The sequence below is a fragment of the Homo sapiens genome, chromosome 6 (assembly GCF_000001405.40).
Source record: "Homo sapiens chromosome 6, GRCh38.p14 Primary Assembly".
NCBI classification, from domain to species: domain Eukaryota; kingdom Metazoa; phylum Chordata; class Mammalia; order Primates; family Hominidae; genus Homo; species Homo sapiens.
Window position 1 is genome coordinate 153,015,146 of NC_000006.12, and position 26,884 is coordinate 153,042,029.

Below are 26,884 nucleotides of genomic sequence, written 5' to 3' on the forward strand. Positions count from 1 at the left end.
TCTTATAGATGAGCAAAGAAAGTGGTTTCTTGAGATGGAATCTATTCCTGGTGAAGATGCTGTGAACATTGTTGAAATGACAACAAAGGATTTAGATTACATAAACTTAGTTGATAAAGCAGCAGCAGGGTTTGAGAGGATTGACTCCTATTTTGAAAGAAGCTCTACTGTGGGTAAAATGCTACCAAACAGCATTACATGCTATAGAGAAATCTTTTATGAAAGGAAGTCAATCGATGTGGCAAACTTCATTGTTTTCTTATTTGAATAAATTGCCACAGCCACCCCAACCTTCAGCAATACCAGCCTGATGAGTCAGCAGCCATCAATGTCGAAGCAAGACCCTCTCTCCACCAGCAAAAAGATTATGACTTTCTAAAAGCTCAGATGACTGTTAGCGGTTTTTATCAATAAGGTATTTTAAAATTAAGGTATCCACATTTTTAAGACATAATGCTGTTGCTATGCTATTGCCAAGTATTGTTTATACTATGACTACAGTATAGTATATCTTTTTTTTGTTTTTTTTTTTTAGTCTCGCTCTGTCGCCCAGGCTGGAGTGCAGTGGCGCGATCTCGGCTCACTGCAAGCTCCGCCTCCCGGGTTCACGCCATTGTCCTGCCTCAGCCTCCTGAGTAGCGGGGACTACAGGCGCCCGCCACCACGCCCGGCTAATTTTTTGTATTTTTAGTAGAGACGGGGTTTCTCCGTGTTAGCCAGGATGTTCTCAATCTCCTGACCTCGTGATCTGCCTGCCTCGGCCTCCCAAAGTGCTGGGATTACAGGTGTGAGCCACCGCGCCCAGCCAAGCATATCTTTTATGTGCATTGGGAAGCCAAAATATTTGTGCGACTTGTTTTGTGGTATTTGCTTTATTGTGGTTGTCTGTAACTGAACCTGCAGTATTGCTGAAGCAAGCCTAAAAAACATTACTTGGCTGAACTACACATTTGTCTTTATTGGGAATTCTTTAAAAATAAAAATGTTCTGGAAATGAATTGTTCAGTTTTTATTTTCTGTTATTACCACATGAGGTCACTATCAAGTACAAAGTAATTTTAAAAAGCACAGAATATTTTTCCCCAACGTTTTTATTTTACCTGAAAATGTATTTTTGCATTTATATGCCAGAGGGAAATGCTGACACTGGAGTTTAAACTGAGATAAACTGATTTATCTTATTCTGGAACATCATGTTATGGTAAGGTAAATTCTTACCAAACACACTCCTCTGTTTTCTTTCAAACTTGAGAAAACTTTTTGTTTCAATAGAGCAGGAAACCTTACATTAGAGATTAAAAAAGGGGGGGTCATTTACTTCTTAAAAAGTAGTATCATTAAATATAGTGTAAAAGTTTCTTCTCAGTAGAAGGAATCATTATTATCTTAAGACAAATAAAATAAACTATTAAATGGCTTATGTCCTCATTGTTTAATTTTTAATTTTTTTGCAAGCTAAAAACAGTAGTGAAATATTGTAAAGTCATACAGTTCAATATTTAGTAATCTATAACAAAAATGCATTTGTTATTTCTATTTAAAGAATAAAATATTTACCTTAATATCAGGTTGTTTGTCTGAAAAGGCTGTCGATCAGTCAAAAGAAGTGTAGCGAGGTCAAATAATAAGGATAAACCCCATGGGGATAACAATCTATTGTTTCATCTTGTGCCATCTTTGTGCTTCAGAATGTGGATCATCTATAATACAAGGTATTGGTGGTGGATCCCAGTTGGGCCTGGGCCACAGTCACCCTAGGATTCAGGTGTGTCTGGATGGCTTCTAAAGCCATCTTATCTGGGCTCCATTGCATGAGGGACTGAGGAATTTCCTGTAAAGAACTCATCCTAAGGGAAGAGAAAGTTGAGTAGCACAAGATAAGAGCTATCCTCGGGCAATGCATGTCTCCTCTTATCTCAGGCCACAAAGACCCATACCAAGGTGGTGTGGAGAAAAGAGTGCATTCCAGCAATAACAGAATTTATAGCACAAAAGCACTACCCTTGTGAGACAGGGCACAAGACAGCATGATAGGTTTGACCGCATTTAACTGGCAGTTTTAGCAGTGCTGAAAAGTCCGGCAATGTTGAGACATAGCAACTGAAGTTTTAAAAAGACACAAGTGACTTTGCAATAGGTCTCGGTGAACTTGGAAGCATTCATTCCCACAGGGAGCAGGAGACAGGGAGGCAGAAAAGCAAGGGACTTGCAAGCAAAAAGTCATGAGAGCGAAGTGGTCAACAAAAGTATGGAGGTAAAGCGAGGAGAATGAAGACAGAGAAATCTTGTTAGTGTGGCTTGGGAAAATCTGGGCTAAACGGAGTCATATACCCTGGTTAATCTTACTAGATTTCCTATTCATTGAAGGAGGACATGAAGGTGGGTTAGCATTGCTGAAAGGGGGTACACCAACTTTTCACCCTGCCTTTTTATTCCAGTCATCAAGATGCAAGGGAAAATTTGATCCTATGGACATTTTTGGCATAATTATACGAGAATATTGAATTTTTACTGAAAGTCTTTTTCTCTGTAGAGAACCTTTCTTTATGTTATTTAATTCCCTGAACAATGTTTTTCACGTATCACATCCAAGTGTTTTCTCCATTTTTCTCTCTTATTTTTACTGTTACTGAAGTTGCTTTATTTAGAATTCCTTTCCAAGTAAAATTCTGATTAATTTTTTCCCTTTATAAGTCCATATCAAATTTTACCAATGGTAACATCTGCCACTGGAAATTTTCTTTTCTGCTTTTAATTTGAACTAAATTTGGTATTCCTATGTTAAATTTTATAAATCTAAAGAATACATGATCCTCCTATCAATTTTCATTTTTACTTTGTGTACATTTAGTCACATTTTATTTTGTGCTTGTTATTTCTCCTGAAAATAATGGCACATTGCAAATAAGACCAGTTGTTTGAATTTCTCTCTTAGAACAAAGATTATTGGTAGGGTAAACTGTAATGTAATACTCTTGGTGGTGTCTGGATGATAGGAAAGTATATCCTGCTGGTCTAGGGGAGGGTTCAGGCCTGTGGTTAAGGTTGCTATTTCTCATCATGTGTGAAGTTCTACGGTTGGGTTTATAGAAATCTAAGGTAACATCAGGAAGAAAATATTAGGCAATGGAAGAATTAATCAGCATGGTATATTTGGAAAAGCACCACATTTGGAATCAGAAGATCTTGGGCTTGAATTCTATCTCTACCAGATATATTTATAATTTCCTCAAACATTCATTTCACCTCTTTGAGTATCAGTTTCTTTTGCTGTAAAGTGGTACCATCGGTCCTCGTGGCTGAAAGATTGTTGTGAGACTCAGACTGTAATAATATAGGCAAGATCACTGTGCCAATAATGAAGCCAATGTAAAGTAATTAATAATAATTGATCATAATTATGACATCATCTTGATCAAACCCAATGTGTTTGGCTTTTGCATCAATTTGAATTTTACCTTCTCAGAATGACCTTACCTGACTACTTCTATTCCATCTAATTCAATCTCCAGCCCATCACAATTTTTAGTTACTTATTTCAACAAGATTTGTCTGTCTTCCTAAAATGTAAGCTCCATTAAGGGATCGGCCAGTGTCTCTTGTTTATCATCATATCCCCAACATCTAGTCCAGTGCTTGGCTCATAGGAAATAGTCAATATTTTTTGAATGATAATATGCGTGCATAAAAATACATTTAGGAAAATACAGTCAAGTGAGTTCTGTTTAGAAAAACTGACTTAAATCATTGAATGTGCTAAATTCACATAATTTCACTTAAAGACATATCTACATGGACACACAGAATCTGCATGTCTATCACATAAGCATTATTTTGTAGATAATTCTGGTGTTCAAATAGGTCTATTACTTTTTTCTCTCAGATGGTAACTGGGAAGTTAGAAAAATCAGAAAAAGCAAACTCCTACTACGATTACAATTACCATTCCCCAGAGCTTGAACATCACAGATATCACGGGTTTTTGGGCTTTCCCCATGCCTTCATTCATAACACTAGGACGTGGAGGTTCCAGCGCACTAAAGCGAGCTGCTAAGTGGCTCACAGATGGTAAGTGACAGATGCAGTTTATAGTCCTGGTAACGACAACGCCATCACTAGGCAGATTTCTACCTAACTGGACCATGGTTTTCTTCAATTCAGATACATATCTTATATTTATTGAAGGATTTATAGTTATTTCTTTGTTCAGTAGCTTAATGCTGTTTACAGTTGATAAGAGCCTCTAAGTAGATTTTTTATTCAAGTTATTTATTTTGCTAGGTTTGTCTTTTGATATCGTTTGGATGTTTGTTCCCACCCTAATCACAGGTTGAAATGTAATCCCCAGTGTTGGAGATGGGGTCTGGTGGGAGATGACTGGTTCATGGGGGCAGATTTCTCATGAATGCTTTAGCACCATCTTCTTGGTTCTGTCCTTGATATAGTGAGTGAATTCTTGCGAGATCTGGTTATTTAAAAGTGAGTGGCACCTCCCCACCCCTTGCTCCTGCTTTGCCCATGTGATGTACTTGATCTCCCTTCATCTTATGCCATGATTATAAGCTTCCTGAGGCCTCCCTAGAAGCTGAGCTGATGCCAGCACCTTGCTTCCTGTGAAGCCTGCAGAACTGTGAGCCAATTAAACCACTTTTCTTTATAAATTACCCAGTTTCAGGTATTTCTTTATAGCAATGCAAGATTGGCCTAACACATCTTTTCAATAATAAATATAAGCTGCCACCAAAATCTGCAATGTGGAGCAAGTCTACTATTAGGCTTAAAGGCCTCTTTATTATCTTCATTTGTTTTCCCTTGAAGACATCACTTTTAAAAAATTTACTTTTTAAAACAAATGTGTAAATTTCTAGTTTTTTTTTTAGTTTGGCCTTTTCCTTCATAAAATGTACACTATACCAAGAACAGAAGTTATGTCACCTCCTAATTGCAAATATCTTAAAAAAAAAAAATATATATATATATATATATATATATATTTTTTTTTTTTTTTTTTTTTTTTTTTTTTTTTGAGACAGAGTCTCGCACTTTTGCCCAGGCTGGAGTGCAGTGGCACGATCTTGGCTCACTGCAACCTCCGCCTCCCAGGTTCAAGTGATTCTCTTGCCTGGGCCTCCCAGGTAGCTGGGATTACAGGTGCCCGCCACCACGCCCGGCTAATTTTTTGTATTTTTAGTAGAGATGGGGTTTCACTATGTTGGCCAGGCTGGTCTCGAATGCCCGACCTTGTAATCCACCCATCTTGGCCTCCCAAAGTGCTGGGATTACAGGTGTGAGCCACCGCGCCCGGTGATATCTCTTATTTTATAACACAATGCTCAAATTATTACAAATGCATAAAACATATTCTTAAAATAAGGTAATGTAATTTTTAGCACATTGACTTCAATAGTTTCATTAGGGGAAAAAGTTATCTATATATAAATGATTTTTAAAATGTAGTTGTTTTTCTATATTTAACAAAGAGGAACACAAATACGCAATCAAATTAAGGTAAAATGAAAGTCTAGTGAAGAAAAATGGCCTTCTGTTTAACAGTAAAATCATGACAATTTTTAGGCATTACCATTTTATAATGAGTCAAATGTTCATGTTCTTTAAAAATATTCTGAATAAGTAGAAACATGCATAGAATTTCAGAGGTAGAAAGCCAAGATTGTCTAGCCCCAAAATGAGAAACAGATAGGAACTCAGATTGGTATTAACTGCCTTGAGTACTGTGTTTAAGTAGATTCTGAGGTTCAGTGTGGGGACAGCAGTAAGGAGGACCATGATGGATAAGCTATGCCATTAGGTAGAGAGGATGAAGTAGTAGCACAAATACTCTGAATAAATAGAAACATGTATAGAATTTCAGAGATAGAAAGCCCAGAACGGCCTAACAGACCTTTTCAATAGCTTCATAGCCTTACAGTTGCCATTATGCATTTGGTTTATTAGTTTCTGTGCTTATTTTTATTGTTATTTTTGTAAACAAATGAACTGAATGTTGAGACTCAGAGGGGTAAAGTGATTTATCCCAGGCCACACAACTGGGATGTAGCAAAGGCAGGATTAAAATCCTGTGCACCTGAATATTAGTCCAGTGCTCTAATTCCGGTATAATCAGGACTCTCTCAATCTGACATGTGCTCTCTCCAATGTTAGAAAACAAAATCTGAAGAGTGGTAACTTGATGTAAGTCAGTAATGTATTGTGGCTGATTAGAAATGGATGACTTTTTGCACAGGAAGTTCAGTGAGGTACATAATAGATTGAACTGGCTTCGGAATAGCCGGAAAGTGCATGCCATGCGCTGAGTATATCAATGAGTCGAGTCAATGAACAGGATACCTTGGTTTAAAACATAGCTTTTTAACAATTATCTTTTATAACTGAAAATATCTACTTTTGCTTGTTTGTTTTTGCCATTAAACAATGATTAAATTTAATTACTCTGTTGACAGGATAGAAATCAGCTGGCTAAACAATGGCACTTCAATGGTCTATTAATTTCTATACCAAGAGTTAATTACAAGTCGGCAAAATTAGAACAAGTTGAATTTCACCTCTGTCTCTGTTTCTTTGTGATATTTTGAGGATATTAAAGAACGGGTAATGGCCAAAATATGGGTATTAGGAAACATAAAGGAGAGAGTAAATATGGTTACGACACTAAACATTAGTGTATGTCATTCTGGAAAGGTCATGTTCTTGATCAGGAAATGAGATTTTAGTGACTTTCTGGTGAAACTTGTGTTCAAAAGAAAGAAATTAGGTGAAAACGGCCAGGCGCAGTGGCTCACACCCGTAATCCCAGCACTTTGGGAGGCTGAGGCAGGCAGGTCACTTGAGGTCAGGACTTCGAGGGCAGCCTGGCCAACATGGTGAAACCCTGTCACCACTAAAAATACAGTAATTAGCCCGGCGTGTTGGCGGGTGCCTGTAATCCCAGCTACTTGGGCGGCTGAGGCAGGAGATTCGCTTGAACCCAGGAGGTGGAGGTTGCAGTGAGCTAAGATCGTGCCACTGCACTACAGCCTGGGTGGCACAGTGAGACTCCGTCTCAAAAAAAATTAGATGAAAACAAACCTCTATTACTTTAGCAAAAAGAATGGAAACTCACTAGTTTATATTTAAATAATCACTATTGTAACTCTAAACATGCCTCAAAAAGAAAAAATTAAGTATTCTACAAAGCTCCATCAATCAGTGACATCAGAAAATCAGGGGCTGTGTGGATAATAAGAAAATGTTTTACATAAAAAACTAAACATTAAAGAACAGAAACTGTAAAAATAAGGGACATAGTATGGAGAATATTTTTTCTCCTAACACTGAAAAAGAATGGAACAGTCATCATTTTAAGATGCTACAAATATAGCACAAAGGAATGGACTAAGTAATCTAGACAACTATCACTTTAAGATGTCACATCTTACATACTTTGGGGGCAGAAATGGGCTTGATAATCTTCCCAAGGACTCTCATTTTGTATAATTACAGGCAAAAGAAGCACATATTTGGGCACATTTGGATCATCTGGTTTATTTGCTATGTGCAATAACTTTAAAATAATAAAAATTAGCATAAAATTATTATACTGATAAAATACAAGTAGAGTTGTTTAGATACTAAAATTCGAGGCAGGCTAAAAGCCTGAAGAATGCAGTTTTAAGATGCAGAATTATACCGGTGTTAGAAATACAGTGTGACATCAGTAACAAATGTGTTGAGGCTACATATTTATTACTGATGTCACACTGTATTACATTTATTAAATTCTCCCCACCTTGCTTTTATGAATACATTTTTCATGTTCATGTAGGAAATAAAAAAATAAATCAATCCTTTGTGCGTCTAATTCTAGAAGGTTTCTCATTTTGTAGAGACAATAGTCCTGGAGCACTCTGGAATACCAATGGCATTTTAACCTAACTAATTAAAAAAAACTATATAACTTAGGTACTGTATATCTTATTAGAAGTGAAATCGTTTATGTAGCATTCCAAACTTAGAGGTTAATAAAATAGACACTAATTCCTTTTATAGATCTCAAAGCAAGGAGTGTAAGGCAGCCTGGGACCATGCCAGGTATTGGAGGAGGAACAGATGACTGTAGCCCATAAATGTTCAGGTGCACAAGAGAGGGGCATGCCATTTAAATGCAAAGGTAAAAATCACAGTTGTTTAGGAGAAACAAAAAAGACAAAAAGAGGCTGGGATGGAAAAGAGAAGACATTCTAGGAACCTCTATGTTCTCTAAGTGCTTTGAAGCCCTCTGGAGCTCCATCACACAGGGCTCCAAGGGCCTGGCCACATTATTAACCACTCTTTCACCAAATGCTTTTAACTCTGTTAGCTGGAACATTTCTCAAGAACAAATTAAGTTTTAAACAGTCAATGGAAAAGTGCTATTTGGTTGCTAGAAGTATTGCTTATTGATTAGGTACATTTTGGCAATGGGAAAGACACTTGCACTTTCAATAACAGAAAACCTAGAATAAGTAATATAATTTCCATTTCCCACCTAAGAATATTAGTGGTCAAGGATCATTTTTCATTTCTGTAAAGAGTCAATCATAAACATCAACAAACATGTCAGATTTCTTTTTTTTGAGTACCTATACCAGAGGTTTTCCAACTAGTATGTATGTGGAAAACTTGTTAAAAGTGCAGATTTCTGGGTCCTATTTCCAAAAATTCAGATTCAGAAGTCCTGGTTAGGCCTTAAGAATTTGTTTTTTAAACAAATGCTCCAGGTGATTCTCATTCACATGATCTAGGGGTCATGCTTTGCGAAATACCACCCTAAAATACATTCTCTCTTTCCATTTTCGTTTGTCACAGCAAATTGTGTTTAAGCAGGCTCCTTAGTGTTAGTTCTGAAAAGCAAGTGAACTACCACACAAGTCAGCTAGAGATAAACAGTCAAAGCATAGTAGGGAAACCTAGCCTTCAAACATGTGTTCAAGGAAATTCTCCCAACAGAAGCTGAATTATCTACCCAGTGAAATCTTCTACCCTCTCCACACCCCATGCCCTACCCAATGTGGACAGCCATCCCTTGACGGTTATCCTTGGTCTTAGGAAGCCCACCTCAATGTTTTCCAGATTTTTACCTCTTTTGGTGATAGTATAGAAATGTAATCTTCATATATCATCCTAGCCTTTTCTTCAATTACTTTTTTGTTCTGCTCCTTCTTTAAGTCTTCACAAGCAAGCCAGAAAAGTAGGTTCTCTTCACTGTATTCTGTTCGGAGGAACTCTCTGAAAAGGTTTCTTCCTGCTGGGGCCTTCATCATCTTGTCAAAATTTTGAGACCAGGACAAGACTTCCTCTGCAGTGGGGTTTTGGCTGCAGAGACAGAACGGGGCCGTGATCAAAGGGAACTTTGTGACCAGTGAATGCTAGACCAGGTAAGGAGAGGAGCAGATAGAAATTCTATCAATTTGCTGCCATCTAGTGGTCAGTATTTTGCCACTCAGTCCAGCCTGATGTGCCAAATAAGTATCTGTCAGGACTACGTCAGTTATTTCAGGGTTTTGACAAAAATTCACACAGGCATAAGAGACATGTAGGGAGACAAGCATTCAAACAGCAAGGGGCCTAAACATAATATGCATGCAGTCATCGTACATTCCTAATGAAGCTTGGAAATGTTCAAACTTTAACAATGTGTTGCAAGTTGATAGAAACTGTCTGTAAGTGACTAAGGACAACATGAATTTTTTCTTTGCCTCTAATCAGGATTTCAATTTTCCAGCCATAAGATACAGTTTTTTTTTCTCATCTCTGGTGGCCATTTTTTTCATCTGTCACTTGATTTAAAATAAGAATACACTGTGTGCACTTGTCACATATTTTCCTAAACTTTAATAATTTTTCTGTTGGGCATGGTGGTTCATGCCTATAATCCCAGTGCTTTGGGAGGCTGAGGTGGGAGGATCTCTTGAGTCCAGGAGTTTGAGGTCAGCCTGGGAAACATAGCAAGATCCTGTCTCTGCAAAAAAAAAATTAAAAAATTAGCTGGGTGTGCTGGCATGTGCCTGTAGTCCCAGCTATTTGGGAGTTGAGGCAGGAGAATCACTTGAGACAGGAGCTTCAGGTTACAGTGAGCTATTACCATCCCATTGCACTCCTGGCTAGGCAACAAAATGAGATCCTGCCTCTAAAAAAAAAAAAGGTTTTTTTCCTACGAAAAGTTAATGTACGAATTGTTAGTCATGAATGGAGTTATCATAATTGGAAGCAGAGTGCTTCTATAATGACACTGACATTGGGGAATTTAAAACTATATACAGATCTTTTAGTGACTAGGTGACTGCAAAAACCACTAGTAATTAATCCACTTGCTTATACATTAAAGAAGTAGAAGACAGAAACTTGGAGAGTCTTATGGTTAAAATGATTCTGATCTTCCTTTCCTATTCAATGATTTACTTAATAATTTTCCAATCTAAAAGACATTTGGCCAAAGAAGTATGTTTATATATATATATAAACATATATATATAAAAACATATATATATAAACATATATATAAACATATATATAAAAACATATATATATAAACATATATATAAACATATATATGGTAAATACATATACACATAAAAAGGTAAATACATATATAAAGGTAAATATATATGTATTTACCTTTTTAACCAGGTATTTCAAATAGATTGTTACTATTCCATAATCTCTGCACTTCCTCATTCACTTAAAACAATTTTTAATTTTAAAAAGCTTAAAAATGACCATGAAGCATCATTAAAACCTTCTCATAAAAAGCAGAAAAAGAAAGCACTTACAATTATATGACTGGACTATTTGTATTTTGATTTTAGTCCATAGGTACCTCTCGTTTGGGAGGCAGCACGTGGGGAGAGTCTGCTCTGGTAGAAAAGGAACCAGGAGTCGCTGGGTGCCCTTCCTCACTCACTTGGACATTCCATATCATTTGTGTGTGTGTTTAGACACTTCTCTTATAAAGAGAAAAACTTGAATTCTCAGAAATGAGAAGTAATGAATTAGGGCAATTTTGGGTGCTAATTCATAAGACAATCTTTATTTTTTTTAAAGAGAAAAGTAAATTTAGATCATGTTTTAGCCAATAACTTAACATAGCTAATAGAAAAATTGCTGAAAAGCAACAGCAATGACAAAATAAGATCTTCCAGATTGAATTTGCATTCACTTCCCAAAATCATTTTGAAGAGTACCATGAAGCAAGGGGTAATACTGAGGCACGCAGTTGATGTAAATGGCATATAAATGCAAGAAACAATAGCTATGTGGTTCTCACACTCACCATTCCTCTAGGACCTGGATACTCTCCATTTTTGTAGTGTGTGTGGGTCTTCCCGCATTTTCCCCTCTTTCTTCATTCCTCACAGTGAGGCTGTAATGTAACAGAACATTTAATTTTGTCAAGGGAAATTCAATCAGTTGAAGAAAAGAATAAATTTTTCTGGGGAAACATTTCACAGGAGATCTTATATTCAACTATGTGAGAATATTTAAAGTATAAAAGAGCAATACCATTTTTAAATGATGGGCAAGCCCATGTCAAAGGGAAGAGAATAATTTTTAAATAAAATTATATAGTAAATCAGACTCCCAAAAGTGGATATTGTTAAATATTCTGACTTCATCCTTACATAATCTGAATTACTGAATATTTCTGAGATATATGATTAAATGCCTTAATATTATATATATATGTATATACACACACACACATATGATTACCTTACTCTTTAAACAAAATGTCATTTTGATTTTTGGTTAATTCTATTCATAGTCTGTTTTCCATTAATTTTCCCCGATTGAGAGCTAATAAGATACAATGTGTCAGAATCTAATACAGATTTTGCTAAATTTACATTGTTACCGATAATATCATTCCTTCAATTGCTAAAATCAAGCTACCGGATTTATATTTGACTTTGTTTTTGCCCTTTCACCCCAGTAAATCAATGTCCAAGGTCTTGAAAGGGACAGACCAGTAACTGAGCATTTGGAACAGGTGAGCATTGGGTGGGAGGGGTGTGTGTCTGTGTAGCATAGGTTTGGGAATTCTACAGCATCATAGAGGACAGAGGATAATGCCGAAGGTTTTAGTAGCCCAGAACAAGAATAAGAATAAGAATTGTCCAATGACAATTGCTCCCTAAAGCTGAGCAGTGCTTTAGGGCAAAACACCGAAAACTCTCGGTGTGGACTAGAAACAACAGGTGAGGTCATGGGAGATACTAAGAAGCAGGGTAGGGAGAATAACTCAGTGGCTCGGGAAAATTTGAGCTCCCAAATTAGCCAACTGATCCCTCTGTCTAGAAGCCGAGGAGCTTAAGAGCCTGGCAGAGAGCACAAGAAGTTCAGATAACATCTCTCATTTGTTCCTTCTTTCACTTACTTACTCAAAATAAGAAGCAATGGAAATGATGATTTTCTAGTGCCTGTTATGTGCTGGGCACCATTCTTTTACCATTAATATTATTATCCCCATTTTACAGATGAGCAAAGTGAGGTGCAGACCCGTCTGGGAGGCTGGCCCAAAACCGAACACTAAATAGGTGCTATAGTTGGAATTGGAAGCCTACCCTGTTCAACAACCCTGTATTTCTGAGTGCCTGCTATGAACCATGGCTGCTGATAGACACTGAGGTCATAGACCACTTACTATGTGAATGCAAAGAAGGGTCACTAAACATCGTTGGTATGGAAAGAAAGTGTTTAGGAAGAGGTGCCCAACAAGCAGTTATTCTCAATCTGGAAAGTCTGATAAGAGAAACCAAGACAATGTCTCCTTAATTCCTTCTTTCATTCTCAAGTGCAAGCGTGAGGACGGAGAGAATGGAGCAAAGGGAAATATTAATTTCTGACAAGCGGGCCCATCTACAATGGAAAGTGAGGCTAGATAGGAAAACTGACCTGAGAGAGCAGACTCACTGGAAAAAGGAGAACCCAATAGGAATTGAAAAGGATTCTGTAGTCAGGAAAAGGACATAGAAAACATAGGATTTCATAGTGAAATACATTGAGTTTGCCTCTACCCATTTCTAGGGACAGGGGCAGGTTTATTGGTGTCGAACCATGGAGGGAAAGGTAATGTAGCCCAGAAGGATTCTGGGGAGCAGAAACTAGAGTGGATGGTCCCTTGGACCTGCTGCACATTGACTAGACCCCTGCTGGAGGCAGCAGTCCCAGGGTTAGAGACAGCAAAGCCTTTAGCGTAGTGTAATTTTGGGGAGGAATTCAGAGACAGTGCATAATTTTGGAGGTATTTGCGTGTGAGTGCTGTGAATGTGTCTGAGGTTTGAGATAGCCTGGGAAACCTCAGTCCTCTATGTCACTATACAAATAGGCCAGATAAGTATTTTAGAGGAGATTCATGAATGAGTAAGAAAGTTCTTCTCTGGAATTTGATGTATTTCCAGTCATGATGGGAAAAGTGGATGGGGGGGGATACACTGCTGACAATATTCTGTAAAACTTCCTGTATATATAAAATGTACAATTTTTTGGTAAATTCTATTCAGCTCTTTTTAAAATAGGAAATTGATACTCATTCTGTCAACCTTTATTGAGCTTCTATGTGTGTGTGCAAACACATATTAAGGCACTATAACACAACTAGCAAAAGAGCTTTCATCCCCTGCTTAAATAATAAACTCCTTGAGTTTATTTTTATTACATTTCCACACAGTGTTCTACAGAAGGCAGTACACATGACGCAGGTATACTTCATTTCATTAAACATCTTTGAGAAATTTTTTTCTCCGTTGTGCCTTTGCCGTAGAGTGACAAATCTGGAGTCTACAGGCATGAATCACGAGTTTCTGAACATGAATTCTGGCTCTTCTATCTGTTTCTGTGATATTTACAAACATCCCAAATGCTACCATATTAGAGCGATCATTACGAAATATTAGGTTGAGTTTACATCTTTCTTTTCTACAGGTGGTAAAATATGGACACACATTTGGACTAAAACTACTTACAACAGACATTCAGTAAATGTTTAACTATTCACTGTGCAGCTCTTGATCTACTATTGGCCACAGTCTTGCCCTGTAGAAATTGAACTTTGGCAACAGACAAATTGTCCTTTTTATTAACTGTCCTTTACTACCGGTCTTAAAAAATGGGTTTCAAGGTTTCAGTTATCAAGAACTGCTGAAAATACCATTTTAAGTTAAAGAGAAATGGAGAAAATAGACAAGGGATTAATACTTAACAGTTTGTCTGTCTTGATATTGACTAATGTCTGTCCTACCTGGTCCTGCTCCAAGTAGTGCATTGTTGTTGTTGTTTTTATTAATTCACTGGAAATATTTGCTCTAGACCAACTTATATATGTTATATGTGTTTGAGGAAAGCCCTAAAAGGAAAATACCAGATCAACAGTTTTGAGGGTCCCATAGAGACACTTTTTTTTTTCTTTTTCTTTTTCTTTTTTTTTTTAAGACGGAGTGTTGCTCTGTTGCCCAGGCTGGAGTGCAATGGCATGATCTCAGCTCACTGCAAGCTCCGCCTCCCGGGTTCAAGTGATTCTCCTGCCTCAGCTTCCTGAGTAGCTGGGATTACAGGCACCCGCCACCATGCCCAGCTAATTTTTGTATTTTTAGTAGAGACAGGGTTTCACCATGTTGGTCAGGCTGGTCTTGAACTCCTGACCTTGTGATCCACCCACTTTGGCCTCCCAAAATGCTGGGATTACATGTCTTGTTTTTTCTTTTTAGCCCATATCTCTCCAAGAAGAGACACTCCCCCACTGACTTTTATGTATGTAACATTTAAAACTAACATTTCTACTTTTTAAGCAATAAAAGCCACAAAGAGAACTAAACACATACACAGTGCTCACTGTGAGGGTCTTGATCAAACCTTAAATACTTTATGGAAGAAAAGTGCCAATATCCTTGGCCAAATATACTAAAATAAGCATTTAAAATCCCATTAGAGATTTTCTAAATAGTGACTTTGAAAAGGGAGGAAAAATACTTGTGACATTTGAGAACTTAAGAAAATGTGCCCCCTCTCTATGGGGGTGGATTGTTTGTTTACAGGGGAGTGTGGACAGTGGAGTGAGAAAAAACATTACCTGCTGCCAATTATACAGTTTATCTACTGATCTGTCATCATGGATATGCGCAGGGTCTATTTTGGAAGACACTCTTCTATTGTAAGGAAAACAATTGGTTCTTAAGAAAAACTGTTAAAATGGTTGCAAAGAAGATAAAACTTACCAGTAGCCATGGTAACTCTGGGATAGAGGCTGGTCAGGAAAGCACATATATTTACAGAAAAATTAAACTGAAGAATCAATAAGATGCCTAAATTTAATACAGTGTGACATCAAGGCTCCAAGAGAGAACTACTGTCACTGGTAAAAGCAGTCTATTCAATATTGAAATAGTCTCACATTGTGATATCAATCTTTTCTTTTTATTTAACAGCTTCTACCTCAAAGTTCCTGGTGCAAAAATGAAATCAACATCCTTCAGGCTCTGAAAATGAATTGGTAGATTATTCTTTAAATACTTCATTTTCAGCATTCAAGATATCACAGTAAATACTAGAGGAGTTAGCAATACTTTAGTAATGTGTATGAAACACTGGTTCATGCAACATTCCCTGGTTGGACATAAAAGGTGAATAAGACAAAGGCTCTGCTACTGAGGAGCTCAGACGGGTAAATAAACATCACATGGCATTGTGATAAGAACTCGGACAGAACTGTGCATATGGGGTTTCTTAGACACCCTTGATGGTACCTGTGCTTTTGCATAAGAGAATTGAGAAAGGCTTCACAGAAGACGTAAAGATTAAATTGGGTTGAAAATGGGCAGTTGTTTGCCAGATGGAGACCTGGAAAAAGGGGATCTCATTCAGAGTGGGGATAAAATCATGCAGGGGCACAATACAAATGTAGAACAGAATGGACATATCAGATGTTGCAGGGCTGGAGCAGGAGAATAAAACAGGCAGCAAAGTATGTGTTATCCAAGAAAATGATGAGGTGGACTCCAAATGTAGAATATACCTCCTTTAGGATGGTTTAAGCTTTCCATGCTTTGTTTTCACCATTCATAATGGGGATAATGGCAATGAACTACTTCACAAGGATGTAAAACAAAAAATAAAAGCTTGTGACAAAAAGGCCCATTATTACAGATGCTTAGTTGAATGGAAGGGCAAGTTGGTTGCATATTAAAATTCCAATTCCAAGTTTACCAAAGAGCTTTTTATTTCCACCTGAGTAAATAGAGACTTCTCCTTTGTCATTATTACACAACACTTCCTCATCCATTACCTTGTCACTTCCTCCTCACAATAGTCCTTGAAGGTAAGCAGCAGAGTTGTTATTAGTCATTCTTGTTTTATTTACAAGGAAACAGTTATTGGGGTTGACTTACACAATACCCACAACTCAAAATTATTAGAACTAGGATTGGAATTCCCATCTTCTGACTTCCTGTCTCAGGCTCATTTTCACTCTGCAATGCCATTTCTCTTTACATAGAAGAGTTAATTGTGGTATTGCAAGTGTTTACACAAGTGATTTTTCTTAAGGTTTGGAAAAATAAACCTCCTAGTACAATCCAGTACATTGAGTATAAATGCCCTCTCTAAGTATCATCCCACAGCTATCACTCCATAGGAGCTGTTGCCCAGAGGTCTGAGTTTGCAGTAGAATTTGATGAAGAGTAACTTCTCAATTCCCTGGAATTTGAGATGAACAAAAAGGAGTTGTTATAGAAGGTTTTGACAGCAAAGTGTGAAAGAGGAAGGACAAAAGTAACACCGTTAATGACTGCAGACGGTGTTGCTATGGCTGAGGAGGGCCATCCTGGGAAGTATGACTTTCTTCCATTAGCAAAGATAACTTCAGGACAGGGCAACAAGGAAAGGAGAATAGAACTGATGTTTCACTTACAAAAGACTACCCACCCCCCAAAAAAACTAAAACCCCAAACCAAAAAGACACCAGAAGATGGGCTGGTAACCACATAATATACAACATTTCAGACACATAGAAACTCAATGTTAAACCTATGATTTGAACTTCACCTCTTTCATTTCTACATTTTTATAATAGAGTATGGTTTTGAGTGGGGTGTGTGGGGATGGGAACAGTGGTTAGAAATTTGTGTCTGGAAATGTTATAAAACACCTGCCTAAAAATACCCCATGTTGCCCCTCTAAAGGCTCACTCCACATTTTGTAATCATGTGCCGTGTGTCATGAAACAAGTATTTCATTTGGCTTAAGCTTTTGTTTCATGAACTTAAACTCAAGTAAAATAATCAGCTATCAAATATCTGTCCACTAGATGGCTGTGTTACCTTTATAAATACAATATTTTAACCAAGTCAGAATAAAGGAAAAACTGAAAAAAAGTTTCTGCGGGTAAATACCCTTATTTGAAAAAAAAAAAAAAAGTCTATTCATTCTCTTAAGGAGTTTTGATAATTATATCTTTCTAAGGAATCTAAAAGGAGTCATTCAGTTTTTCGGTGAGTGTAATAATCAAACTCGAAGAGGATAAACTTAATCTTGGGAGGTTTGCATAACTGCAACCATTTTTCCTTTTTGGTATTTACAAAATATTCTGAATAGATCCCGGCCCAAAGTCATTTGATTTGGGAATACTTTAGTCTTAAAAACAGGCAGGCATACTGTTATTAACATTGTCATTATCGTTTCCGATAAGAAGTCGTTTTGCATTCCACCGTCTCATGCTGGGATAATACAGAACTTAGGTCATACATTCTTAGAACAAATAAATTAGAAAAGGGTTTTAACTACCAATAGGTAGGAAATATTTTTAATTTACAATATTTTAAAAGAGCCATCCTGAGAATGGATTCTCCACACTATTTCAATTTCTGTTTGGGTGGTACGTGAACATTCATTTCTTCTTTTGACCCATGGAAACTGAAGACAAATTTCTTCATTCTCTGATTCTCTCTCTCAGTTGCCAATTTCTTTCTATATACGCATCTGTTTGAAAAGATGGGTATCAAAAATTCCATCTTTTTATCTATATTCAATTTTCATTTGAAACCCCAAGGCCTGGATTTCCTTCATGGACATATTGATTTGATTTGGAATGCCAACTTCATTTACCAAGTAATTACATGGTGAAAATAGAAATCTACACGGTACGTTTATGTTCAGTTAGATGACCAAAGCTTCTTATTTAGCATAAACAGAGTTTATTTTTCCTTAAAATTAAGAGAATTACAGGTCTGAATACAAAGATATACTTTACATAATACACGCCAGGCCAAGCATGGTGGCTCATGCTTGTAATCCCAGCACTTTGGGAGGCCAAGGTGGGCAGATCGCCTGAGCTCAGGAGTTCGAGACCACCCTGGGTAACATGGTGAAACCCTGTCTCTACTAAAATACAAAAAATTAGTCAGGCATAGTGGCGTGCGCCTGTAGCCCCAGCTACTCAGGAGGCTGAGGCACAGAAATCGCTTGAGCCCCAGAGGTGGAGGTTGCAGTGAGCTGAGATGGCACCACTGCACTCCAGCTTGGGCTACAGAGTGAGACTTCATCTCAAAATAAATAAATAAATAAATAAAAATAAAATAAAAATAAAAAATACATGCCAATCATCAGAATCTTCTATACCTCAGTTCTCACGTTGATTAAAATCCTATTTTAAGCTATTCCTTCAACCCACTGTAATTTTACCTATAATTTATAACTAAGTGAATGCCTTAATGGGAAAGCAAATATCTTAGATGTGAAAAGGCCAAATGGACTTCTATTTAGTTAGGAGCAATAATAGTGTGACTGTTATTAAAATGGCATGCGATCATTTGTGTCAAGTGCATTAATTCAATTGGAGCTCCAGTTTCTGACTTTAGAAGGCTGGGTCCCTATCATAAAAAGGAGAGTGAAAAAGTTAAAACCCTGTTAGTGAATATTCAGAAATATATCTGATAGCTGGCAGGACTGCTCATTCATCTACCCATTCATCCTTTCCCTCGCATTTTCCAGTTAGTGTGTGTGTGTGAATACGTATGGGATGAATGTGCGGGGCTTCCTTGAGAACAGACACCATGGAAGACAACAATCTTGATCTGTAGAGAAACAAAACCCTGCTATATAAAAGTTACAACACTCTGGGAATCCTGCAGCTGTGCAGTGCATGCTCCAGGGCTGCTCTGACGTATACCTGTGCCGATTAATGTGAGGGCTGGGAAGCGCGAAGTGATACAGACTGAAGAAACAGCATCCGCTACCTTAACTGACAACATGCAAACAGAACCTTGCCAAGCCTGCAATAGCCAGATCCTACACAGTCTGGTAAATTCCTCTGGGCCTGAGACTTGTAAAGGGACAGAAATAATACCTATCAATAAAGGATTACGCAGGGATTTGTGTACATGACTAATCGCATTTTACTGAGGAAGAAACCGAGGCTCAGAGGTAGTAAGTAACTTGCCAAAGGTTTCATAGTTACATGTGATAAAACTGGAATGTACTCAGGTCTGTAAAATTCCAGTGCCATGGGTCTTTCCTTATCCCATACAGCCTCTTGAAAGTCAGCTTTCCGAGGAAGACATGCCATTAGAATTTGCGTGTAATTGTCAAATATGGCAAGACTACCTCTAGAACGAAACACATGAAGTTACTGTTCCACTATTACGATGGAATTGGCAGTTAAATGGCTCTGTACTTTTAAATAATCTATATTGCTTTGGCTGCGAGCGGCGGCTGATGCCTATAATCCCAACAATTTGGGAGGCTGAGGCAGGCAGATCACTTGAGGTCAGGAGTTTGAGACTAGCCTGGCCAACATGGTGAAACCCTGTCTCCACTAAAAATACAAAAAAAAATTAGCCAGGTGTGGTGGTGCATGCCTGCAGTCCCAGCTACTCGGGAGGCTGAGGCAAGAGAATTGCTTGAACCTGGCAGGCAGAGGTTGCAGTGGGCCAAGATCGCACCACTGCACTGCAGCCTGGGTGACAGAGCAAGACTCTCTCACAAAAAAAAAAAAGTATATTGCTTTATACACAAAGTGTCAGTGACAGAAATTTGTGTTTCACTTAGGAACAGATATTCCCATGCAAAAAGATGTACATTAATATGTAACATATTAATGTCTGAAACAAAGATATGGACTTTATAGCATTTATACATGCTATATTTTATAGCACCCAGTCCAGCATGATTATTATAAAATCAATTTCATTTTCACAAAAAGTGAATTTGATTGTCTTATCTGACAAAAACAGAACAAGTAATTCTTGAATCATGTCCTAAAAGAGCAGGCAGATTGTAATAGGTCTACCACACCTAGACCATGAAAGACAGTAGGTTAGGCCCATAAGAAATAATGAAGACTTTTAATGAGAGAAGCAAAAGTAGGGTTAATACTTAATTTAATCAGGTGTAACACAACTATGAAATTTTATAAATAAGGGTAGCAAAGAAGTCAGCCTCATTTTTGCATTATTGATTGGAATTTTCTGGAGGAATTTGTTAAATATTGTCCAGGTAGCTAATAAAGTTGACCTGGATTTGGAATGGTTGAATTTCATATTGCCTTGGAAAATGAATAATTTGCTTTGAATGAGTCAGGAAGGAAAATCCAACTTCTCTCAAAGCAAACCTTCACCCTGAAGGAGGAGCATATGGGGTCTTAGAGTCTTCAAAGAGGGGCTCACTCATTTTCTCTGTCAGTAGCTTTTCTTTCTCCAAGTTCTTCCTCGTTGTACATCTTACAGAGAAGCTTGGTTCTCTTAAAGTTCACCAAGAAGCCCTCCTGGCTGGTCAAATCACAAAATGTTTTATGATTCTTATTGTATTGGACTTCTCTGGTGTATCTGCAACCTCAGACTTCCCTTTGTGAAACTCTCAATTCTCTTGGCTTCTGTAACAGTCCCTTGCTGTGTTTTATTTTATTTTTCTGAGACAGGGTCTCACTCAGGCTTGAGTGCAGTCATGTGATCATGGCTCACTGCAGCCTCAACTCTTGGGCTCAAGCCATCCTCCTACAACACTCTCCTGAGTAGCTGGGACTACAGGTGTGTATTACCACACTCGGCTAATTTTAAAATTTTTTGTAGAGATGGGGACTCACTATGTTGCCTAGGCTGGTCTCGAACTCCTGGATTCAAGCTTTCCTCCTGCCATGTCCTCCCAAAGTGCTAGGATTACAGTTGTGGGCCACTGTGCCCGGCCCCCTTGCTGCGTTTTGCATGTCATTTCTCACATCACTTCTTCTCCACTGTGTTTGCAACTCTCTCACTCCTCCATTGTTCTTTAAATGTGGTGTGTCCTGAGGTTTCTGTCTGTAGCTCCCTGCTTTTCACCCTGGAATACTCACCAGGGCGAATCATTCTCATCTCTTGCAACTGATGAGTCCCAGATTGTCATATTTCATCCACGCTTGTCTTGCAAGCTTCAAATTCATTTATACAACTAACTCTTGGATACCTCAATCAGAGCAAGTTGAACTCATCTTTGTATCCTTGGCCTAAATAACTTCCTATTGCAGTGTCCTCTCATTTGATGGGATCACCAGCAACCCAGCTACTCATGCAAGCAATATGGAGTCATCCTTCTCTTTCTTGTCTATCATTAATTCTTGGCAGTATATCCTAATTTTTTCTTGAATATGCACTTCTCTCCATCCCTTTTATTGTCTCTTTCTGTTGTGCCCCACCATCTCTCACCAAGGCTATTATAAAAGTCTCTTAACATCCCCCTTACTTTTTGTATTTTCTTCCATACATTTTCCATTCCCTCAGGAGAATACTTAAAATATAAAATGGACTTTGTCCTCTCCTTACTTAAAACCCTTCAATTGCTTCCCATCTCTAAAAAGGTGTAAACTCCTTAATAAGGTGGAAAAGATATTTGATTATTTGTCATTGCCTATCTCCCTAGTCTTCTATTTTGTTCTTCTTGACTTTATATCCCAGAAATGCTAAACAGATTTAGTGCTCCCTCCCCAAATTCATTCCCTCTGTACTACTAATTGGTAGTACTACCTTTAAAACACACACACACACACACACACACACACAGACACACACACACACACACACAGGAGCATGAAGAAAAATGGTGCATAAAAAAAAATCTGGTGGCCTGGGAGAATGTGCCTGTAATTTTTGAAAAGAATTTCTGTGACACAAGTTTTTATATTTCATAAAGTAGGCTCAATTGGCAAATCCAAATCCATCACCCATTCAACAAATGTTAAACACCTACTAATACTGGCCAAATAATGTAAGCCAAAATATGCATTTTTTACTTTTTTTTTTTTTTTGAGACAGAGTCTCTCTGTTGCCCAGGCTGGAGTGCAGTGGCGCAATCTTGGCTCACTGCAACCTCAGCCCCCCAGGTTCAAGCGATTCTCCTGCCTCCGCCTCCTGAGTAGCTGGGATTACAGGCGCATGCCACCACACCCGGCTAATTTTTGTATTTTTAGTACAGACGGGGTTTCACCATGTTGGTCAGGCTGGTCTCAAACTCCTGACCTCGTGATCCACCCACCTCGGCCTCCCAAAGGGCTGGGATTACAGGCATAAGCCACCACACCCGGCCTATTTTTTGCTATTTTAATGCATGAAACTTCAGTTATCTGTTTACAAAAATGCCTGGCAGCAATGACCAATATGGAGTTTTGTGAATTCAAATACAAGATCTATGTAATATAATTTTTACCAAAGGTATTAACCTAAAAAACAACAACATGGGGCAGACAGGAGTATCACTCGTATAAAAAATGGTTCAGTGGGTTGGTGAGTCAAACTCTGACCTTTCATGTGTTCAGCCTTCTCTAGGGCAGAGGGAGCCATGGCCATGGGTATGAACAGCACCAGTCTATTACCAAGGTCATCCCCAAAGCTCCGGTACATCCTGGCCCATCCAGACATAGATAGTCCTCACTGCATTGCCATGTAGAGTGAGTCAGCTTTGGCTGAAATTTGAGTTTTTTGTCCGGGTCTGAACCTTGAAGCTGACTGGGGTATCTGGGGTCAGCAGACCTCACCGTGCAGAGCCCTGTCACCAAATGCACCTGCCACCTCTTTATCTACAATTTCTTCCTCCTGGCTTCTTGGGACTCTGGACTTCTTCACCAGAGTGAGGCTCCTTCTACCATTAACTCTCATTCAGTCCATAGTCCTATTGTCCACTCTGGTTTTGTGTATATGGCCTGAGAAACTTGGGTTCATTTTGATAGATGTCTTTTGATTGTGTAAAGTTGATATAACTGATAAAAACATTGAGGAAATTTACCCATGCCATGGCAAGATGGAGTTTCCCAACTGGAGACTTCCGTATTGCTACTTTGTAAGTGATATGTATGATGGTCTGTTTACAAGTACTCTGGAAATCTTGTGCAGTGTGAGTTATTCTGCAGGAATAACGTATTCTGCCATGTGAGATGAATCAGCTCTCTGAGGGTGACAGGCACAGAGGAAACCATGTATGCTCTGGTGCCTCAGATGAAATGATTCACCTTGCCTGTGTGAGGAGTTTTATTTCCAGGGAGTGGTTTCTTTACCATGGTGCAGGCATGGATTTTTGTTTTTCCTTTCAAAAAATATCCTTTGACTTTTAAAGCATGCATCTTAGTATTTCCTTTGGCAGAGAGCGAAAGTGTGACAGCATCAGAGGATAAAACAGGACATTATTTTTGCACTGTTTTGAATTACAGAGGCCATGGTACTTGTTAGAAACGGAGGGAGGGGCAGCCCAAAGCATATTTATGAAGCACTTAACATTTACTCAGTGAGATCCATCCCATGGTCTGGAAACTCTGGGAACTAATGTATCCAAAAAAGAGACAATTTTAGCTTTCAAAAGGCTAGTTAATTTACTAAATTCAGTCTGTGACCAATTTCTCTTGAGAAGAGTCCAGTGCAGTGGGCCAAATCTCGTGGGCAATACCGGGAGAGCATGAGATTGTGAATTCAACTGAGAAAGTTGTGTTTGGAAATGGCTCATATCAAACCTGGAAATGAAAAGCTTGGAAGTGTCACATTAAAGTGGACCGAACAACGGGACTAGACATTCAGAGGCTTGCATCTCAGTTCCACCTCGATCCCTAATGGGTCTACTGACATCAGCAAGCCATCAGTTTCCTTACCTGTAAAAATAGACACAACATTTTCCAAACGTTGCTGTTGTTGTTGTTTTTTCAAATGAAAGCTTTTACCTAAGTCTAATTTATAAAGTAGCTAAAGACAGAACCATTCTCTTGGAAACTGCAAGCTGGAGCCAGGGCTGTGGCCAGTGATACTTCATTCTTCTCCTCTCCATAGCCGTCATCTCACCACCATGATGTGCCAAGCAGAGGGCAACGTAAACATTTTGGAGAGATGGTAGCTGAGGTCTCTGAAGTTCTAATTTTTACACACAGGGAACCCTGTTTTGCTTGATGGGACACCCACAGAAGCGTCAGTATTAAAAGAGGAATTAGTACCTGAAGATTTTATGTGAAAAAGTAGCATGGGTTATTTTAATGCAACCTCTGAATGATGTTGCAAGAGAGTTCGTAGGACAATTTGAAAATGAGCTTTAAGCTCATAATAAACTTTGAAAGCTCTGCCTTTCCTATGGCCATTTTGATGCCCCTCCTTTTTGTAAGCACACAGCAGTTTCTAGTCTGCTCTGCACTTTTATATGTGTTATCTCACATGTGAGCATCTGAACAACCTCACTGCTTCACGCTGTCCTGACTGAAGGCAGTTTGAGAGGAGCCTTCAGTATCTTTCAAAGTTTTCTTTCTTATAAAGAAAAGGGAAGAAGGTTACTATCTGAAGAAACGAGACATTCCACTTGCCAGTGTCAACCTTGAACCTGTAGACAAATGGTCTTGACAAAATGGTCTCTTCACCCTAGCTTGGTCCCATGAATAGAAGGTCTTGCATGTTTATAGAGTGTCCATTTTATGTGTATTTAAGGATGTTAATGGTTCTAAACCACATCCTCCTGTTTTCTCTTCTTTAATTGCAAGGGCTATGAGGAGAAAAGGGAGATAAGGAGAGAGACTGACGTGGGGGGAGAAAGTGCCTCTATGACAGAGATAGAGAATGGACCAGCTTAAATCACTATGAAGCCTGTCTAAACAGTTTAGAATTTTGAAAGAAACTGTGGAAACATTCAGCAGTTATGTACTCACTCTCTGTATCCTCCCCGCAAAAAATGTGGTGGTAATGTTATAAAGACAGGAATCTATTTAAAAATGAGAGAAGAGCTGACAATGAAATATGAATGAGAAGTGCAAATTTGAGGGAAATATTACACTGTTAAAAAACCCATAACATGAAGCTTAGGGTGAGGTATTTATATTTATTACTAGATACAGAAATTTATTTTCTTACCACTCTATTTCCTTAAAAGGAAGTAAATTCAGCCACATGACAACTGGTCCCATTCACGAATGACAGTTACTTCATATTTTGATTTCTAACTTTTTTTTTTTACTCCCTAAATTACATTTTTAGTGTTTCTTTTTGTTCTGCTCCTTTGACCTAGCCTGGAAAATCTGAAGAACATTTATTTCTTTTTCTTTTTACTTCAGAAAGCCTGTACAATTTTCTTTTATAAACTTGAAGTATAAAAATAATAATATTTTAAAAACATATGGGTAAAGGACATTTTCATTTGCAATAAGACAATATAGTCATAATTAAAATCCATAGTTCAAGGAACTTTAACTTTTATCCTTTTAAAAAAATTAAGTGGCCAGGCACAGTGGCTCATGGCTGTAAATCTCAGCACTTTTGAGAGGCTGAGGCATTTTAGGATTGCTTGAGCCCAGGAGTTCAAGAGCAGCCCAAGCAACATAGCAAGATGCTGACTCCACTAAAAAAAAAAAAAAAAAAAATTAGCCAGGTGTGGTGGCATGCACCTGTAGTCCCAGCTACTGGGGAGGCTGAGGAGGGAGGATCACTTGAGCCCAGGAGTTGGAGCTTACAGTGAGCTGTGACTGTGCCACTGCAATCAAGCCTGCATGACAGAGCAGATTTTGTCTCAAATACAAATAAATAAATAAATAATAATCAAGTGGTTTATAATAATTAGAAATTTTCTATCATTTATCATATATAGAAGGACTTGTAAATTTACAGACTGTATATTTTATGGCCTAGACTCAGGCATCCAATGTTCATTGACAAGAAATGCAGTTCCTGACAAGGGCATTGCTAGTCTAGAGCTAACAGAGCATGCAGCCAATGTACCCAATGTTTGGGGATCTACTCTAGAGGTGTAGAGAGTTGATGCAGCTTCCGAAAGCTGTTTTGTTCTCCATCTATTGCCTGTGTACTGCAATAATCTCTTGCTCATGTGCTAATGTTAAATGTTTTGTTATTTAATGTGTCCTTTAAAAATTGATAAAAGCAAATCTCACTAAATATTTATATGGCAGCTAATACATATAGCACAAAGAAACTTCAGTATTCTATCTGTTCTGGTGTTTTAATCCCAAAGCAATTCAGAGATAAGTTTTGGCAGCTAAGGAAAATCATATACCGATTACAGGAACCTGGTATAGTGCAAATGAGCACTAGAAGTCTATTCCTCAACCCTGTGTAACAATATATTGGTGATGTTTTATACAGAATTTAAAATAAAATAGCTTTTCCAAGATAATTTTTGTGTTATAGCCACAAACTGATCTTTTTTTAAAACAGTATTTCAAGCCAGTTCCTCTTTAAAGTGATCTTTATTTTCCAATATGAAGTGTTCCATAGCCCAGAGAGCTAACTCTTATTAAATGCTTACTGTGTGTCAGACACTGCTCTTGGCTTGTTATGTATTTTATCTCATTTAATTTTACAATGGCCTTACGAGGCAGGGATTTTTATTACTGGCATTTAACTAACTTGCTGAAGGTCAC

At 38.1% G+C, this 26,884-nt stretch overlaps 1 protein-coding gene across 4 annotated transcripts in view, besides 1 other annotated feature; it reads right to left on the reverse strand.

The window, feature by feature from the left end:
• RGS17 (regulator of G protein signaling 17) overlaps positions 1–26,884 on the reverse strand; it is a 126,824-nt gene that overhangs the window by 10,687 nt on the left and 89,253 nt on the right. For all 4 annotated transcript variants that reach the window (NM_012419.5, XM_047418634.1, XM_047418636.1 and 1 more), the window contains exons 3-4: positions 11,309–11,398; positions 9,117–9,351 (exon numbers count right to left, since the gene is read on the reverse strand). In NM_012419.5, coding sequence (NP_036551.3) covers positions 9,117–9,351; positions 11,309–11,398 — 325 coding nt within the window. The remainder of the gene's footprint in view (positions 1–9,116; positions 9,352–11,308; positions 11,399–26,884) is intronic.
• Positions 629–811: a silencer, noted in NCBI's record as "fragment chr6:153336909-153337091 (GRCh37/hg19 assembly coordinates)". NCBI's record gives its function as "represses an EF-1alpha promoter that drives an FKBP-Casp9 reporter gene in an ReSE screen in K562 erythroleukemia cells {active_cell/tissue: K562}" and the evidence as "EXISTENCE:reporter gene assay evidence [ECO:0000049][PMID:32094911]".